Source organism: Homo sapiens, chromosome 14, assembly GCF_000001405.40.
Source record: "Homo sapiens chromosome 14, GRCh38.p14 Primary Assembly".
NCBI classification, from domain to species: domain Eukaryota; kingdom Metazoa; phylum Chordata; class Mammalia; order Primates; family Hominidae; genus Homo; species Homo sapiens.
Window position 1 is genome coordinate 104470387 of NC_000014.9, and position 18433 is coordinate 104488819.

General features: G+C 51.5%; 1 annotated feature.

The window, feature by feature from the left end:
* Positions 846–1346: an enhancer, noted in NCBI's record as "H3K4me1 hESC enhancer chr14:104937569-104938069 (GRCh37/hg19 assembly coordinates)". NCBI's record gives its function as "activates a minimal SCP1, AML or CMV promoter by ChIP-STARR-seq in primed H9 embryonic stem cells {active_cell/tissue: H9 hESC(primed)}" and the evidence as "EXISTENCE:reporter gene assay evidence [ECO:0000049][PMID:30033119]".

Sequence of the window (18433 nt, forward strand, 5' to 3'; positions counted from 1 at the left end):
TCCCCTTACGTGTTAGATGCAGTGAGGAAATAGTAGTTAAATTATCACAGACTAGTATGATCAGTTTCCGCTAGGATAAAATGTGATAAATGGGTTTTAATAAACTGAGGAGAATTATAGGCACCATCTTCTTGGTTGCTGTCAATTTTATTTAGAGTAAAATGCCATTGCGATAATTAGTTGGTTTTTACTGTGTTCATTAAAAGCTTTTCTAATGACCGCTTGAGGAATAAGTAAAATTAATTTCTTTCTTGAACGTCGAAGGAATTAATCAAACAAACAAAAAGCAAACTTCAGGGATTGTGCGAGACGGGATGAGGGCCGGTGGTTTTCCGTGCCCGCTGTGGGGACAGCACTTTCCCGCCGTCTGTCGTTGGTGTTGCAGCTCCAGGCCATTCCCCCGAGCTGTGCTGATGGAGAGGGATGCAAGCCCCGGGGCAGAGGCCTTGGCCGTCCTTCTCAGGTGCCATTGAGCTGTGACTCCCAGGCCGCCTCCTCCAGGCAGCTTTCCTTGACTGCTCCAACTTCAGGGCTCTCTTCTGCCTGGCCCACACACTTGAGCTAGGGCTCCTCAGTCTCAGAGGCTGAGGCCAGGTTCTCTCTCTGCCTGTGGCCCCTTGGAGTCCAGCACAGGGCTAGGCACTCTAGAGGGCTCAAGGGCTTGAGCCTGAGATCCTGGCCTGTCTCCTCTTGGACAGGACTCCTTGGGCCTCCTGGCCACTACCCTATGTCCCAGCCCCTGCAGTGCTTGCCCAAGCTCAGCCTTTGTTCAGCACACCAGCCCTGTGAACCACACTGTCCCTGGAGGGACTGAGGGATGTCCAGGGGTCATTGGTGGCATAAAGGATGGAGCCACTGAAACGCAGTGGGTGGATGCAGGAAGAGGAGGGCTGCCCAGCAAGGCCACACCTGGCCTGGCTCGGAGGATGCCAGGAGGAGTCTCCAGCAGGCAGGCGTGGCCAGAGGGGCCGCGGGGTAGCCAGATGGAGTCTTTGTGCTGACCCCACAGTCCACAGGGAGGAGCAGAAAAGTGGGTGAGGCCTGCGGAGATGCCATCACCTGGCTGGGGGTACTCAGTGGCGAAGGGAGAGACAAAGCCAGACACCGCTCTGGCTAGTGGGAAGAGCAATGGTCCTTCTGACCTCCTGTGCCAGGTACAGCACTAGCACGGGCCTGAGAACCTGGCTGGTGAGCACATCCACCTGCACCTGTACCCATCCCCACTCCCCACACACGCCACACACACACACACACACACACATGCTCATCACACACACACCGCCACCTGCACCCATCAGCACTCTCCACACACATCACACACACACTCATCACACACACCCATCGCACACACCACACACACACTCATCACACACATGCTTATCACACACACTCACACACCACACATACATTCATCACACTCACACACACACCACATGCTTATCACACACATGCTCATAATACACACACCTCCACCTGCACCAGTCCCCACTCCCCACACACATCACACACACCATTGCACACACACCACACACCCACTCACACACACCACACACACGTTCATCACAGACACACACACACCAAACACATGCTTATCACAAACTTGCTCATCACACACACACACCCCTCCACCTGCACCCATCCCCATTCCCCACACATCACACACACACTCATCACACACACCCATTGCACACACACCACCCAATCACACACACACATCCACCTGCACCCATCAGCACTCCCCACACATCACACACACACTCATCACCCACACTCATCACAGACACACCACACACACTCATCACACACATGCTCATCACACACACTCATCACACACCACACACATTCTCATCATACACACTCATCACACTCATTACACACACACTTATCACACACATCACACATATGCTCATCAGACATGCTCATTACACACTCATCACACACACCACACACACACAAACTCATCACACGTACACCTGCACACAGCCACACACACAGGCCCATCACACAGACACCATGCACCACACACACACTCATCACACATACACACAAACCCAACCACCTCACACACCCATTCCCCCATCACACTCACACCCCCACCTCTGCTGGATGGAGCCCCACCATCCTTCAACGCCCAGTTGACAGCTCATCGTCCTTGACGCTTCCCCACCCCACCGTGGCCTACTCTGCGCCCCACCACACTTCCCTCTCCCGCCCACAAGGACCTCGGTAATGTCGCCCCTAAAACTGCTGCGGAACCTGCAGCCGGCTGTGACGCAGAATTGGCATCCCAGCTCGGCCCCTGCACACCCGACGCCCGGAGGGGTGCCTTAGTCCTGAGACTCTCCTGGTTCTTCTCCCTCTCCAGTGAGGTGAGAAGGTCAATCCGGCCCTGTGGGGTATGTTGAGGGTTAAGTGAGACCCTCGTGCTCATGAAGAGGCCAGGCAGGTCCTCTGCGAGTGCCACAGCCCCAGGCTTGTGCAGCCAGCTCACGGAGGCCTCCCAGGCCCTGAACACACACAGGACAGGGCTTTCTTGCATTATCACCTGAGTGACACTGCTAGGGGGCTGCTCTCTGGATGTCACTGCGGCCGGGTGCCGGGACAGCCGGCTGCTTGACTCCAGGACTTAGAGCTTGACTTGGCCTTTTAAGCCTCTGTCTCAGTGCCCTCGGGTCCCTTCCGCCCCCTCTGTGGCTCACCTACCTGTCCCTCGGCCTCTGGGGTGGGCTGGCAGGGCTTGTTCTGGGACCCAGGTGGGGTGGCAGCAGTGGCTGTCATGGTGCAGCACCAGCTTCCCGGAGTGCCCGGTCTGGGGATCCCCAGCGAAGGCACCGAAGCTCTCTTCTTGGCTCCCGGGCCTGTGAGGCCCAGCCAGCTCCACCCCAGCCCCTCCCACCCCAAGCCTCACAAGGAACCCCCACCTGGCAGCTCAAGCCCAGCCCCCTTTCCTGGGGTCCTGGGAGTTCCCACCACCACCTTGTGGCAATCAAGGGTAATGTGTGGGCTGCTGGGCCCTTGGTCCCTGTCAGGGTCACTCAGAGAGGCCCGGGTGGACATGAAAGTTCAAGTCTAAGCCGCATCCAAGCCAAGACTCAGGAACAAGCAGGGACCCTGGCTGTAGCGCCCCCAACTCAGGAGCAGCTCTCCGGCTTCTCATTCCCCTGGCTCTTTCTGGCTGAGGGGGCTTCTCTGTGTAACTCGGCCAGGTCCTCTTTCCAGCCTTTTTATTCTTCCTGCAGTCAGAGGCAGGGGCAGAGGGGGCCTCTGGTGCCAGCTCTGAGGCCTCTCTTGAAGCCCAGCCTGAAGGTGGCTGACCCCACCCGCTGCCACCCCCACCCTGAGATGGGGGCTTAGCGCCTTTGTCTTGGTGGCTTGCCCTGCTGGGACCCCTTCCTCTAATCTCAGAATGGCCGACCCCTCGCCTCCCTCACGGCGCCATTTCAGAGCTACATTCTCAGGCAGACCCCCGACCTGGCGCTCCTAGTTCGCCCACCCACCTGTGCTGCGTGTTCCCAGGCGTCCGCCACCTGCAGCAGGCCACCCGGTCACGTCTCCCTCCTGGCGCGCTTTCATCCTCGAGCCCCTTCTGGCCCCATCCTCCAGCTCCCGCCGTGTTGCTCAGAGCAGCTCACGGTGGGCACGCGGCGACTCTGAGGAATGGGCGTTCCCACAGCTCCCCGGCTTCCGTGACGGCCACGACCGGCTCTGCAGGGCAAGCTGGCCTCTGCAATCACCGCGCAGCGGCCCCTCACAAGTAGCATTTTTGCACTTGGCAGTCTACACGCTTTTTCATTTTAAAAGGAGTTTGTCCCTGGTGTTTGAGAAATATGCCCAAGAACACAGCCCTTCTCAGAGAGTCTGGATTCTAACAAGGAAAGCTCTTGGTTACACAGGGGAGTCCACGGTGGTGCAATGTCGGCTGAGGCATGGCCAGCGCAGGGCAGGAGCTGGGGGACTGGCGCCTCTGAGGACAGGGAGACACTCATCGGAGCAGCAGCACGCTGCTTGCACCTATAGAGGCCGCGGGCTCGGCAGAGCTGCCCTCACGATACTGGTGATTTCGGGAGCTCTCTCTAGAGGGCCGGGAGATACTGCAGCCTCAGAAGTGGCTGCCAGGAGTGGCTCTGGCAGATTTAGACGGTGATTTAGTCGGTGATCCTGCTGCCGTCCGTGTTCATTCTCCAGCAGAAGCCACACCTCACTCTCCCCTTAGAGCGAGGGAGAGATATGCTCAATTAAGCTGGGGGCAAATGGCGTCTGCACAGCCAGATCCAGGGGCCAGGAGGATGGGGGACTGCCCGGGAGGAGTCTCCACGCCATGTGAGTCAATCAGGGAACCCTAATTGGAAAGCAGTAATAAAAAGTAATTGAGTTTAATACATAATTTAGATCGTTACCCGTTAAGCTAATGCCTCCCGCTTAGGTGTGGGGAGAAAATTATTTATCTCGTAGACGGGGAAGATTTCATTTGTTTTTATAATGGAATGCTCGCCAATTGACTTTAATAAGAGCAGTTTGTTAAATCAGATTTTGAATTGGTGCATAGATTTGAAGTTCATATGTTAATATTTGACATGATATACTTAGCGCCTCCCTTCTCCCCTTAAAGTGGCTGGATTTATTCTCCCGTGAGGCTGTGCGCTCATTGTTGTCCTACATTATGGAAATTAAATCGGTTCTCTCTGGTGTCTTGATGGGAGGCAATTTGGCTCCTGACTTCTACCTTTTTTTTTTTTTTTAAATTAAAAAAGGGACATTAAAGAGTCTCTGCTTGCTTCTTTGCAGGGCCTTTTTCCTCTTGAAAACAGTCCCAGGGCTGCAAACAAATGCTTTGCTTAAATACCAGAAAGGAACTTACTAACAACTCCTTACTTGGGTCCAGCCATCTGCCATTCCTTAGCCGTTTGATTTTCTCAGCAATCCTATGAAGTCAAGCGGCCACTAGGAACCCGGCTCCTGCGTGTGCACATCGAGGCCTGGGGCCTGGTCCCCACCCGTAGGTGGGCGCCAGCCTGGCAGTGGAGACCAGGCTTTTCACACCCGCAAGGCAGGGCCGCCTGGGCCTGGACCCAAGCTCCTCTGGCCAGCCTATTGATGGAGACTCTGGGACTCAGTTTCCCTATCAACAGAAGAGGGATAAGATACTGAGTACCTCAGAGGGGATTTTAGGATGGAAGGAGGTGCTGCCTGCCCGGGGCACGGAACACAGCCAGTACCAAGAGCTTAACTGTGAGCACTGCAACTACCCCAGTGGAGTGGCTCCCGGACCCCTCCCCAAACCAGCTCCCCCGACCCCAACAGCCGTACCACGAGGCAGATAGCATCTGACCGAGAGGGCCCCACCCTCACATCTGCCTCTCACCAGCTGTGGGGCCTCAGGTGGGCGTCCCTGTGCTCCAGGCCTCAGCATCCTCGGCTATGAAACAGGCTGCTGAGGCCTCCCTAGGGCACCCAGTGTCCCTGTCAAGGGCAGAGGGGATCTTGCTGACAGGCTACAGGAGACCACCCCAGGAGCCAGGGGTTTGCACGGTCTCCTCTCGGGGCAGCCGTCCAGGCAGAACCTCAGCCCCCAGATGGCAGGATCGGGGCGAAAGCTAAGTCATCAGGACCCCAGGTCTGGAGGCCGTCCCTGCCCGGTTCCTGCAGCAGCCTCAGTGGCAGGTGCTGGGGAAAGCCCTAGTGCCGGCAGCCTTTACCTCGGGTCCCCCTGGACTCCCAACCCCTCCAGCTCCAGCCTCTGTGTCCCACAGAGACCCCCCAGCGCATTGCAGAGAGAGCTTTCCACAGCCCCAGCTGCACCCCCACTTCCAACTTGCCTCTGGAAACAGCCATGAATGGCAGGGGAGGGCACCAGAAGGAAGGCCTTTAGGGAGAACGAACACAGGTCTCCACTCTCAGAAACAGGAGTCTCCACAGAGCCCCCAAGGGACCCTGGGACACCCTGGAAGTGTCCACTGCACACTGGAGCCACCTCAAGAGCCATGGGGCTTGGAGCCCCACGGTCCTGGAGAAGCTCTCCCCGGTGGAACATCGGAATAAATGTGTGTAGCTGTGAAACCCCACTTTACATAAAATCAGAAAGAAAGCCTGTGTAAAACAGATTTCTAAGTACCCAAGGCCTGAGACACAAGCCTCTCCTGCTGAGCACCTGTGCAGCCTCTTCCTGCCCTTCTCGCCTCCAAGCCGGCGCAGCTCCTTCTAAAACACCTTGGTGCACCCAGGGTGCCCAGAGGAAGGTGGGAGCCCATGGCAGCCATGTGGACGGGAGCGAGCCCCTCCACCAGCATGCTGGGAGGCAGACGGTCGGGGAAGGGGTGCCCTGCCACTCTGCTGCGGAAGAATCTGTTGCCGTGGAAGCATCCAGAGCAACAAGGAGGAGATGACTTTGTACCCCAGGAAGTGGGGCTCTCTGCCCAGGGACGAGTGAGCTCATGTGCAAGGAGGGCCCTTAGGACTGAGGCACCTGGGGTGGGGGTGCCAATCCCGGTCCTGCCCCCAAGGGCACTCGGCATGGATGCCCTCAGCAAACTCTCCTCAAGACCAGGCACAGGGCGAGGCACCTTAGGACTGAGGCACCTGGGGTGGGGGTGCCAATCCCGGTCCTGCCCCCAAGGGCACTCGGCATGGATGCCCTCAGCAAACTCTCCTCAAGACCAGGCACAGGGCGAGGCACCTTAGGACTGAGGCACCTGGGGTGGGGTGCAAATCCCGGTCCTGCCCCTAAGGGCACTCGGCATGGATGCCCTCAGCAAACTCTCCTCAAGACCAGGCACAGGGCAAGGCAGGGCCTGTCCTGGAGCTCCCAGGCTGGGCAGTAGGGACGGCCAGGGCGAGGGGCCCTGGTGTGAAAGTCCAGGTGGGAACCGCCCTAATCGCTCCCCCGTCCCAGACCTGAAGCTGCCCCTGGGGCTGAGGAGCCTCACTCTGTCCCTGGGCCAGGGTCCTGGGCTCCCCCGCCTGTGGAGCAAGAGCCGCAGGGCAGGGATGGGCAAGCACCAGCACCCACGGCTGCGGCCGCAGTCCAGCCACCTCAGAGTCCCCAGGCCTTCACCCAGCCTCGCAAGCCCCGTTGCCCACACCTGGGTTCATGGATTTGAGCCAAGCTCACCCATCTGCCCAGTGGCTTTGGATTTGAGAGCGTCCATGGCTCCCCCTACGCCCAAGCCATGCCTCATAGTCCCCTGGGGTGGGCTGAAGGTCTCTGATGGAAACCTGCTCTCACTGTATGGAGCACAGGCCCTGGCCCACTGAGACACCCAAACAGAGTCACTCAGTGGTTCAGAAACAGGGTGGGCAGGACTCCCAGGTGCAGGGGCAGTGGGGATTCTGAGCCCTCCGGGAAGGGGTGTTGGAATCATTAGAGTGAATGAGGGAGGGGATTGTGTGGTTGTTGGAGGGCAGCCACCCAGCAGGACTTTCTAGGAGGAGGAAACAGTTTCTTTCTTGGCTCCCCGTATGGTGCCACATGGGCCATGTGCACCTGGCGCGTGGCTGGCACCCAGCGTCAGTTCCTTTCATTCACTTCCCTTTAAGCAGCTCCGTGGACGAGCAGCCACTGTCCTGGACTCACACAAAGTCTCAGCCGGCGTGTGAAAGCCTGGGGGGAGCTCAGCCCCTCCACTCAGAGGCGGCGGCCGTGGCCACTGCCCCGAACAAAAGGAAGAGCTTGTTTACAAATTGTCCATTGAAAATTGAGTTGCAAACATCGGCATCAGGCCTCGCCTGCCAGGCCACCCGGATTGGAGAGTAATTTATGAAGATTGCTTTACCTGGGGCCGTGCTGGTCTGTGCCTGCAAGTAATTCACACCAGGCTCATTTTGGATGCAGTCAAAGACCCCCGTATTTCACGGTGACAACGTAATCACAGAACCACATTAAAAAGTCATTATTGTTTAGAATCCAGCTTGGTTTGAAAAACTCTTACTATAAAATTCAACAGCCTTTGTAAATTACCGAAAGGTTTACTCAAGAATCCTAGGTGCCGTGATTTAGACCGGGAAGTTACCACTTTATTGATTCTGTGGGATTTTGTTGGTCCCCGCATTTATAAGGAATGATTAGTGAGTGATCAGAGTAATAAACTCCTCTGTGCTGGTTCATAAATAATGATGAATTGAGTTTGCATCCTCAAATTTCTCATGCAAACCACTCCTATTCCGAAGAGTCCCAGATGCAACTTTGGGGCAGTGTGGCCGTTAGCCCCCACGGGGACAGAACACAGGGGGATCTGGCTTCTCCGCTTGCCTCTTCATAGGATCCCAGCAGGCCTGGCCACTGCATCCCAGGATAGCAGCCGTGGAGCCGGACTCCATTTCCCCCCAGCTCGAGGGGTGCTGGGGGCCACTGGCAGAGCTCCTGCAGATGCAGATGCTCCTCTGCCTCCATCATGGCAGTCCAGGGAGCAGATGTGTGTCTGCACAAGCCCTCGTCACTCACACATGGTTGAACAGGCAGGACGTGGCCAATTCCTTGTCAGTTTTGTCCTGAGAGGCAGAAAGCTTGCCCCTGGCGGCCTTGAAATGAGGGGCTCATTTGGGGCTCCTGAAAGCTGAAACTCCAACCCAGGAAGTGCCCCAGAGCCAGGCAATCCTGACACACTCACTCTCCTTCCACACTGGGAGACAGCAGCTCTGCTCTGCCCACCGGCCCAGCTGGCTTCCAGCCAGGTTCTGCCCTCTGAGGCCCTGAAACTACACTTGTCCCTTTTTAGAAGTTGTCAATGCCCACCAGTGCCCAGGAGACTCTAGGAAGGACTGCAGTGAAATGCTCAATGTGTTTAATCCATGTTTCCCACTGGCCCAGCCATGCCTTTGACCCACAGGACAGCAGCCATGGGTGTGCTTGGGAAAACCACCATGATGGGTCCAGGCAAGAGCACCAGCCTGAGCATGGGTCACGCTAACGTGGGTGGCTCAATTAAGGAACAGGGATGGACTTCTTGTTCTGTGGCCCCCACACGCTCCTGCTTCATCCGGTGGCCATTTCTGGGTGAGGCCTGTTCCCCCACATCTCCGCAGTGGGTCCCTCTGCCCAGGCTGCTGCCAGCTCCCACCTCCCTCGGTGCCCAGCGTGAGGCTGGGGCACAGTGGAAGGTCTGTGAACCTGTATTAAGCAAAATAGAAACTAAATGTGGACTTGAACTGGACTGAAATGAAATTGAGTTAGACTGAATGAAAATGGATTGGAATGGAATGGAATTCGGATTTGAACTGAATGGAATTGAATTGGAAGTGGACTAAAATGGAATTGAACTCTAATCTAAACACCAGTCAGGCAGGAGAGATGGACGGGCTGAGCCAGGGGAGCTGCCCTCACCCCACCTGCCCCCTGCCCTGGGGAACCCTCTGGTCAATACTGCTAATAGGAACTGAAAATTAAAGAAAATGATGCTGATGGATTTCCTTTAATATGCACAGACGCAGCTCAAAGAGAGTGTTTCTGGAAAAGCAGTAACAGAGCCTGCAGAGGTCACGAGGCACCTGGACCAAACCCTGAGATGCTCCCAGGAACAGCACTTGAGTTGTGCAGTTTAAATTCGAAGCGCTGTCCACCTTCAGCAAGCACCTGAGCCACAGAAGAGGCCCCCAGAAGCCGTCTCCAGCAGACAGGAATGAGGAGGCACTGCACACGGGCAGGGTGCATGCGGGCCTGCAGTCTGAGGAACACACCTGACGTGGGGCAGCAAGGATTTTCCACCACAGGGTCACTCTGTCTGTTCAGGGTCCCAAGGGCACCGAGAACACCAAAGACTTCAAGGGCCTGACATCAAACACTGCTCTAAGGGGTGAGCAGACACCTGCCAGGAGCAGAGGGAGGGCCCCCTGGAGAGCAAGAGGACTCAGCCTTCCAGCACTGGCCGAGACGTGGAGCTGCGAGGTCACTCACCAAATAACACAACAGCCTCTAGAAGTGGGAACGGCCCTAAGCTGACAGCAGCAAGAACACAGAGACCTCAGTCCTGCAACCTTAAAGAACTCAGTCCTGGTCACAGCCCTTGTCACCAGTGGGATCTGGTCTTATTTTTACAGGAAATAAACATGGTCTATGAGAATGTTACCAGGTCCATGCCCTTCACCCAGCACCCTTCGGCCTGCTTCTCCTGCACATGAGAACATTGTTTTAATCAGCACCACACCATCAGCATGTTCGGGAGACTTACAGGACCCCATTCTGGCATCTCTCAGGGCATGGTGTTGGTCAAGAAGGTGTTTCCGGAGCAAAGCGTGCCCTGCTGACCCCCAGGCAGGTGGCATTCTCTGCTTCAGGGACTGTCTTCATTCTCCTGTGTCTTTCGGGCTGGATGGGCGGTCCAATGTCCACTCCACATTTCCCCAATTTCAAGTTCTTTCCTGCATTGAGGGGGAGAAGCCAGGAAGGACCCCCAGGCCCTGTCCCCTAGATGGCTCCAGTGAGGTTGGCAACAGGAGGAGTAAGGTGAAATTTGGAAGGTGGCGGGGGGACCCAGGGCCTTTTCACCAGCTGGTGGCTTCTCCGGCTTTTCCACCCACTCCCCCGTCACCACTACTGATGGCGACTCGAGATTTGTGGTAGTTTCCTGGGTAACCCCTGAGGACCCCTGCCATAGTGATTCAGGCTGGGCCCATCTGGGCTTTCTTTCCAGCCCCTCCTACCTCACCTCCCTGTGCTGGACCCTCTGCTCTACTGCTTGGAGCCCTCCATTTCCCAGCCCCACCCAAACCCATCCATGCTTGAATTCTTTTCTGCTCTATTTCTTGTTGTTCTTCTTTCATTTTTCTTTTTCTTTTCTTTGGAGGCAGAAACAAAAAGATCCCTCTTCTCCCTAAATGCCTGTATCTCTACTCTCCTCCGCTTTCTCTGTGGCTCAGAGGCCACTCCATGGCATAAGGTTGCCATTCTGATGTTTCCCAAAGCTTGAGGCTGCCTTTCCTGGCTGGGCTTCCCACTCCCCAGGAAGCTCACTCTCTACCCATGGCTCCCCCACATGTCTGGGTGGCCCTGACGTCCTTGCTCCAATACCCATGGAGATCACCTTTTCTAGCTCTGGCGAGAGCTCCAGGTCCACACCTTGGCTGGAGCGGACCGGAGCCTCCTCTCAACCCCCAGCCAAGTGGGCACCTTTCTCTTTCCAGACCTGCCAAGCCCCCCGCAGCCAGTGCTGCATCGGCCACTCCCACTGCCAGCAACAAGCTGGGCAGGCTCTGAGCACCGCCCCTGCTGCCCCGGGTCCTGGGTCCACCCCTACAGAGCAAGCCCACCCGTCCAGTCCCCACCGTACCACCAGGCACAGCCCTCCACAGCCCTCAGCAGCACAATCTGAAAGCTTCTGGATTTGCTCTTCCTGGCTGTTTGCCTCTCTCCCCATGGGGAGGCTATCAGGGGAACCCACCCCCAATATTTCAACGTAGGTTCTTTCTATTTTCCCTACGTTTTGGCTGGCTGAGAAATAAAAAGAAAGAGTACAAAGAGAGGAATTTTACAGCTGGGCCTCTGGGGGTGACATCACATATCGGTAGGACCATGATGTCCTCCTGAGCTGCAAAGGTTTTTATTAAGGACTTTCAAAGGGGAGGGGGTGTACGAACAGGGAGTAGGTAACAAAGATCACATGCATCAAAGGGCAAAAAGGAGAACAAAGATCACATGCTTCTGAGGCCAATAAAGATCACGAGGCAAAGGGTAAAGCAAAGATCACAAGGCAAAGAGCGAAATCAAAATCTCCTGATAAGGGTCGATGTTCAGCTGTGCACGTATTGTCTTGATAAACATCTTAAACAACAGAAAACAGGATTCGAGAGCAGAGAACCAGTCTGACCTCAAATTCACCAGGGTGGGTTTTTTCCCCCACCCTACTAAGCCTGAGGGTACTGCAGGAGACCAGGGCATATTTCAGTCCTTATCTCAACTGCATAAGACAGATACTCCCAGAGCGGCCGTTTATAGACCTCCCCCCAGGAATGCATTCCTTTCCCAGGGTCTTAATTATTAATATTCCTTGCTAGGAAAAGAATTCAGCGATATCTTCCCTACTTGCATGTCCGTTTGTAGGCTCTTATAGGCTCTCTGCAAGAAGAAAAATATGGCTCTATTCTGCCTGACCCCGCAGGCAGTCAGACCTTATGGTTGTCTTCCTTTGTTCCCCAAAATCGCTGTCATTCTGTTCTTTTTCAAGGTGCACTGATTTCATATTGTTCAAACACACATGTTTTACAATCAATTTGTATAGTTTAACACAATAGTGGTCCTGAGGTGACGTACATTCTCAGTTTACCAAGATAACAGGATTAAGAGATTAAAGTAAAGACAGGCACAAGAAATAAAAGTATTAATTTTGGGAACTGATAAATGTCCATATTAAAATGAAATCTTTACAATTTATGTTCAGAGATTGCAGTAAAGACAGGCGTAAGAAATTTATAAAAGTATCAATTTTGGAAACTGATATATGTCCATATTAAAATGAAATCTGCACAATTTATATTCCTTTGCCACAGCTCCAGCCAGTCCCTCCATTCAGGGTCCCTGACTTTCTGCAACAGACACAACTCTCTGAGTCCCCAGGACCTGACTCTCACAGTGCTCAGTGATTATTTGTTGAATGAATAAATGTCCTTGACACCACCTCCAGCAGTCTCCCCTGCTTGCTTCTGAGACGGTTTCTCTCTTTCACACCTGTCCTGACTCCACTGGCTCGCTTTCCCACCCTATTCTGCGACCCTAGCATCTTTCGTTTTCTTGTATTTCTTCTTAGGTTTTGTTTTTCTTCATGATCTGTGTTCTTTGCTCCAGTGTTTTATTATGGGATAGTTCCAACATTGAGAACAAATTACGTAGGATAATATGAACTGAACCCACCACCTGGGCATGACAAATATTAGCATTCTGCCATATTTGCTTTAGGTAATCATTTTTAGAAGTAAAGCATTATGAATAGAGCCCTGGTATATCATTCAGCAATCACATTTTCCTCTCTCCTCCACAGCCTTCTCAATCATGTTTGATATCTTTACCACAATCTATCCTGCTGTTTAGTAAAGATATGTTTTAATACTTTACACAAATCGTACCCCACGGTGCTTATAATGTGTGCCACTTGTTTCTTTTTTAACTCAACATTGCATTTTCAGGTTGGTCTGCATCTGTGCAGGACCAACTGTTGCAGATGCCTCTGTCTTACTAATTTCTGTGAGTTCTCTACACACGCTGGATGATGAACACTGGTCTGTCATGTGTATAACAGACCAACTACTGGATAGTACTTTGTACACATATGCCATGGATGTATAGCCTGTGCTCACTCGCCAGCCTTCATTGTTTTGATGGGTCACTGTCATAAGGGGGGCAGCAGCCCACATTCCTGGGGAACCTTTCTTGTGCAAACATGCAACATGGTCCCTAGTCTAGGAGAGAGGGACTTTGCCAGGTGGAGGGACATGCCTGGTTCCAGCTTCACTAGGAGTAGCCAAATGGCTCTTTGAAAGGTGGAGCCAATGAACCTTCCCTTCAGCATGGGCTAAGCGCTCCCTCGCCCACTGCCAGCTTTTTTACTCTTAGATCCCTAATCTTTGTTAATCTGATGACTGTAAAACAAAAGGTTACTTTAATTTGCATTTTCCTGGTAACTGGGGAGAGTCTGCATCTTTTCACGGTCATTGCATGTCTCATTTCCTTTTCTGTTAATTGTGAGTTTGTATCATTCGCCTGGTTTTCACTGAGTTCATTACACAGTAAACATGCATATGTAAGCACATATATCTTTACTGAAACAACAGGATACATTGTAGTAAAGATTTCAAACATGATTGATAAGACTGTCAAGGAGAGAAGAAAATGGGACTGGTAGATGACATACCAGGGCTCCACTTTATTCATAAATGTTTCACTTCTCTTTGTCTCATTGATTTGTGTGAGCTCTTTATATGAGATGGATAATCATCGTCTGCCTGTTATGTTTATAGCAAACATTTCCTCCTGAGTGTGGCCGGTCTTTTGACTTTCAGCTTTGTTTATGGCATCTTTTGTTGTATAGAAGCTATTAATCATAACATAGTCAACTTTATCAAATTTCAGTTTTATGGGGTTTACGTTTGTATGTCTTACTTGAGAAACTTTTCTGGGCCAGGCGCAGTGGCTCACACCTGTAATTCCACCTCTTTGGGACGCTGAGGCAGGTGGATCACTTGAAGTCAGGAGTTCAAGACCAGCCTGGCCAATATGGTGAAACCCGTCTCTACTAAAAATACAAAAATTAGCCTGGTGTGGTGGTGTGTGCCTGTAATCCCAGCTACTCAGGAGGCTGAGGCAGGAGAATCACTTGAACCTGGGAAGTGGAGGTTGCAGTGTGCCACTGCATTCCAGCCTGGGCAACAGAGCAAGACTCCATCTCAAAAAAAAAAAAAAAAAGAAAGGAACTTTTCTGTATTTTGACATCATAAAGCTATTTCACTGTAGTTTATTCTAAATGTTTTAAAGTTTTGCATTTCGTATGTAGGACTTTAACCCATCTGAGCTTTATTACCGGTGCAGTGTTAGATAATAATGTGAATATTTTACCTTTCTATCAGTGGCATTTGACCAACAAACCCCCATTCCTGTTGACGTATGGATCCCTGTGGTGCACAGCAGGTTTCCACTCCGTGCAGGTCTGCTTTTGCCTTTCTGTTCTGTTCTGCTGATCTGTTTATTCTTGAATAGTCTTTATCAAAACTAGAGGAAATCGCTGGCTATTTGTTAGAGAAAACATCTCTACCCTCTGCTTCTTCTTCAAACCTGTCTTCACCATCTTTGGTCCTTTGCTATTCCATGTGAAGGAATAATCCACCTTATCAGGTGCCAGGAGAAAATGCTGCTAGGATTTGAATGAAATTGCATTTAATTTATTGATTATTTTACAGGAAAACAGAACATTTGAAACTGAGTTTTTGCATTCATGATGTAGCCTTCCAATTAGTTAAATCTTTGTCTATAGCCCTTAATAAAATTGTATTAGTTTCTCATTTAAGATGTCCCACATCTTTATTATACTTATTTCTAAATACCTCAGTGTTTTATTGCTATTGCGAATGGTGTGTTTTTTCTATTACAGTCTCCAATTAGTGTTGGCTATTGCATAGCCATGCTGTGGACTTTTATATCTTCTTATATTAAACCTCATTAGCTCTCATTGTAAATTCTTAGAAAATTTTATGCAGAAAGTTATATTGTCTACCCCAAAAATATGAAAATGTATGTCTCCTCCTTTCCAATCCTCACTCCTCTTTTTCCATCTTGGCCTGTAACATTGGCTAGATCATCAGACCATGCTGAGTGATGGCTATGAGAGAGTCAACTCCCTGTTTTCCACTTTAATGGGACTGCATCTGGAGTTTCGCGGGAAGCTTGAGGCTTGCTGCAGGCTGGCCGTGGTGGCCTTTTATCAGGCGAAGGTCGTCCTTGTAGCTTTTGTTATCTACGAGCCTCTGCTGGGAAGGAGGGTGAAATAAATGTGGGTTACATCCTCTGAGATGACCATAGCTTCTCTCCTGAGACCTGCTGATGAGGCTGATGATAAAAGTGGATTGCCTAGCGATACTTTATGCTTATGTTCCCAGGACAAAGCTTGCTTGGTCATAATTGATTCTGCAGCCAGTTGCCCATCCTCACCCCTGGTGTGGCCAGCCAGGCTGGCGGTGTGCCCACCCTCTGCTGACCACTGGCTCTTGCTGATGACCCCCACCCCCACATATACACATAGCTCAATGGACAAAAAATTCTAGGAAGAGACTGGAGCCATTATCCAGGTATCTATTACCAAAGAGCCTCCCATAGTGGGGTAGTTCCATCAAAAGTAGTAACCGACCCAGGGAATAGGTGGATGTATTTCTCTCCAGAGCAAAAAGGTTGATGCATACACATCTGTTCTACCAAATAGGCAATCTGGTGACTGTTGGGCTAGGGATCTGAGGGCCTCTCTGGGTTCTCCAAGTGCATTCTCTCCCAATGCCGGGATGCAGGGCCTGCCTCCTCTGAGTGGCTGTCATCCGCTCTGTCTCTAGGACGATGCACCCACAGCACCATCAGCCCAGCACAGCACCCACCGCATTCCTTGCTGCCCTCCGACGGCTCAGGTGTCCCAGACGTTGGGTGCAGTCTAGCAATGGGGTGGCAGGGCCGTGACTGGACTCCTGGCATCTCTTATGTTAGATTTCTTTCCTCTGCTCAATGCCCCCCACCCCGAAAGGAAAAGATGTGTTCCAGGGCAGAGGATGCGAGTTGAATTCACCCATTGAAGTTAGGGGTACCGTTGACAGGGGCAGCGGTCAGACACAGCCATGGGTCAGCAGTGCATAAAAACGATTTGGGAGTCATGAGGCTGAGGATGGCATCTGACACCACGGGAGCATGTCTGACTCACTCACACGCCCGCCATGGGGCTGAGGGTGAGCTGATGAAGGAAGAAAGGAAAGAGGAGCTGGCAGATAAATTGGTTTTAAAATGACTTACAATGTTGTGATTCATTGGTTACTCCCTGGGCCTCCCCTCGCCTGCTCCTGACACTGGGACTCACCGTGGAGGTGTCTGGACCGTGCTCCGGGGGGCAGCTTCAAGCATCCCCAGGTGTCTCCTTCAGCCATTCTCATTACTCTGCTCCAGTGGTCTCTGACCGGTCACTGCTGTGGGAGAGAAAAGCTATCCCTTTATGTCACTTCGTTGCAGAATTTGTGACTCGCAAAATATTAACTGACTGATGTTTAGAGACACGTCGTCCTTGGCAGAACTGGAGGAACAACTTCCCTTGAAAAGCTTCAGAGGCAGGTGGCTTTGGCCACCTGGCCCTCCTAGTGGCACTGGTCTCTTTCTTTCAAGTCAAGGGCAGAGACTTGGGGCGTCTGATGCGACTTTCCACTTTAAATCATGGAAGAGGAATGCTGGAAGCACGGCTGTGTCCCTCCCTTCTCAGATCAACCTACCCACCTCTTCTGAAATGGATGCTGGCTCCTGGGTGGACTGAGTCCTCCCTGCTCCAGACAGGGGGCAGTAGAAAGAGGTTGAGAGCAGTAGCAACTTGGAAGACTTACAAGGCTTACTCATAAACATGTAGATTGCCTAGTGATAATGTAGATAAAGGTATCACTAGGCAAACTACATTAGAAATACATATGCCTATGTATATACACCACTCTATGTATATATACATATATTTACATATATACACACATATATATCAGTAAGGATTCGTGAACATTTATTTTTATTTATTATTTTTTTGAGACAGAGTCTCGCTCTGTCACCCAGGCTGGAGTGCAGTGGCATGATCTCGGCCCACTGCAACCTCCACCTCCCAGATTCAAGCGATTCCCCTGCCTGAGCCAACCGATTAGCTGGGACTACAGGCACACACCAGCACACACAGCTAATTTTTTTTCTTTTTTTTTGTATTTTAGTAGAGACTAGGTTTCACTGTGTTGGCCAGGATGGTCTCGATCTCCTATTGTGCACTGCATGTGCTTTATTTTGTTGCTCAGATTATTCCAGCTTTGGCTATTGGGAGCTCTTTCAGTTGGTTCCTGTGTCCCTCTGGCATAATCTCATTCTTGTGGGGGTTTTAAACACTTCTTTACCTCCTGGCACTACACGATGCTCTAGGCCCCTCTTGTATAATCCTTACCCTAGCCCTAGAATCAGCCATTTATCTAAAGATTTCTGATTCCTTTTATTGGAGAGAGACTTTAGAAACCAAGATGTGGGCACTGGGTGCACTTATTGTGACTGGAGTGTCAATGGAAATTCTGGAGATTAAAAGTATAATGATTAAAGCGGAAAATTTACTAGAGAGGTTTGATGGTAGATTTGAATTGGCAGAAGAGATCACCAACTAATTTAATGACAAATCAATACAAAGTATTCAATTTGAAGAAGAGATAGAAAAAAACTAACAGAGCTTCCGTGAAATGTGGAACACCACTAAGCACCCTGACCTGCACATATTGGGAGTGCCAGAGGAGAGGAGAAATAGGAGGAGACAGGAAAAGTACTCAAAGAAATAATGGCTAAAAACTTTCCGAATCTGATGAAAAGTACTAGCCTCACATCCAGGAAGCTCAATATGGCAAGTGGGATAAAAACAAAGAGAAACACACCCAAACACATCATAATCAAAATGTTAGAGACAAACACAAACAGAAAATTTTGAAAGCAGTTGATGACAGAAAAATCCAAATGTTGCCAAAATATATTTAAAGAGGTTTACTCTGGGCCAATATGTTTGACTATGGCCCAGGTTACACAATCTCAAGAGGTCCTGAGAAAGTGTGCCTGAGGTGGTTGGGTTATAGTTTGGTTTTACACATTTCAGGGAGACAGGAATTGCAGGTAAAATAATAAATCAATATGAGAAGGGTGCACATTGGTTTGGCTGGAACAGGCGGGACATCTCAAAGTGGGGGCTTACAAGTCATAGGTGGGTTTAGGGGA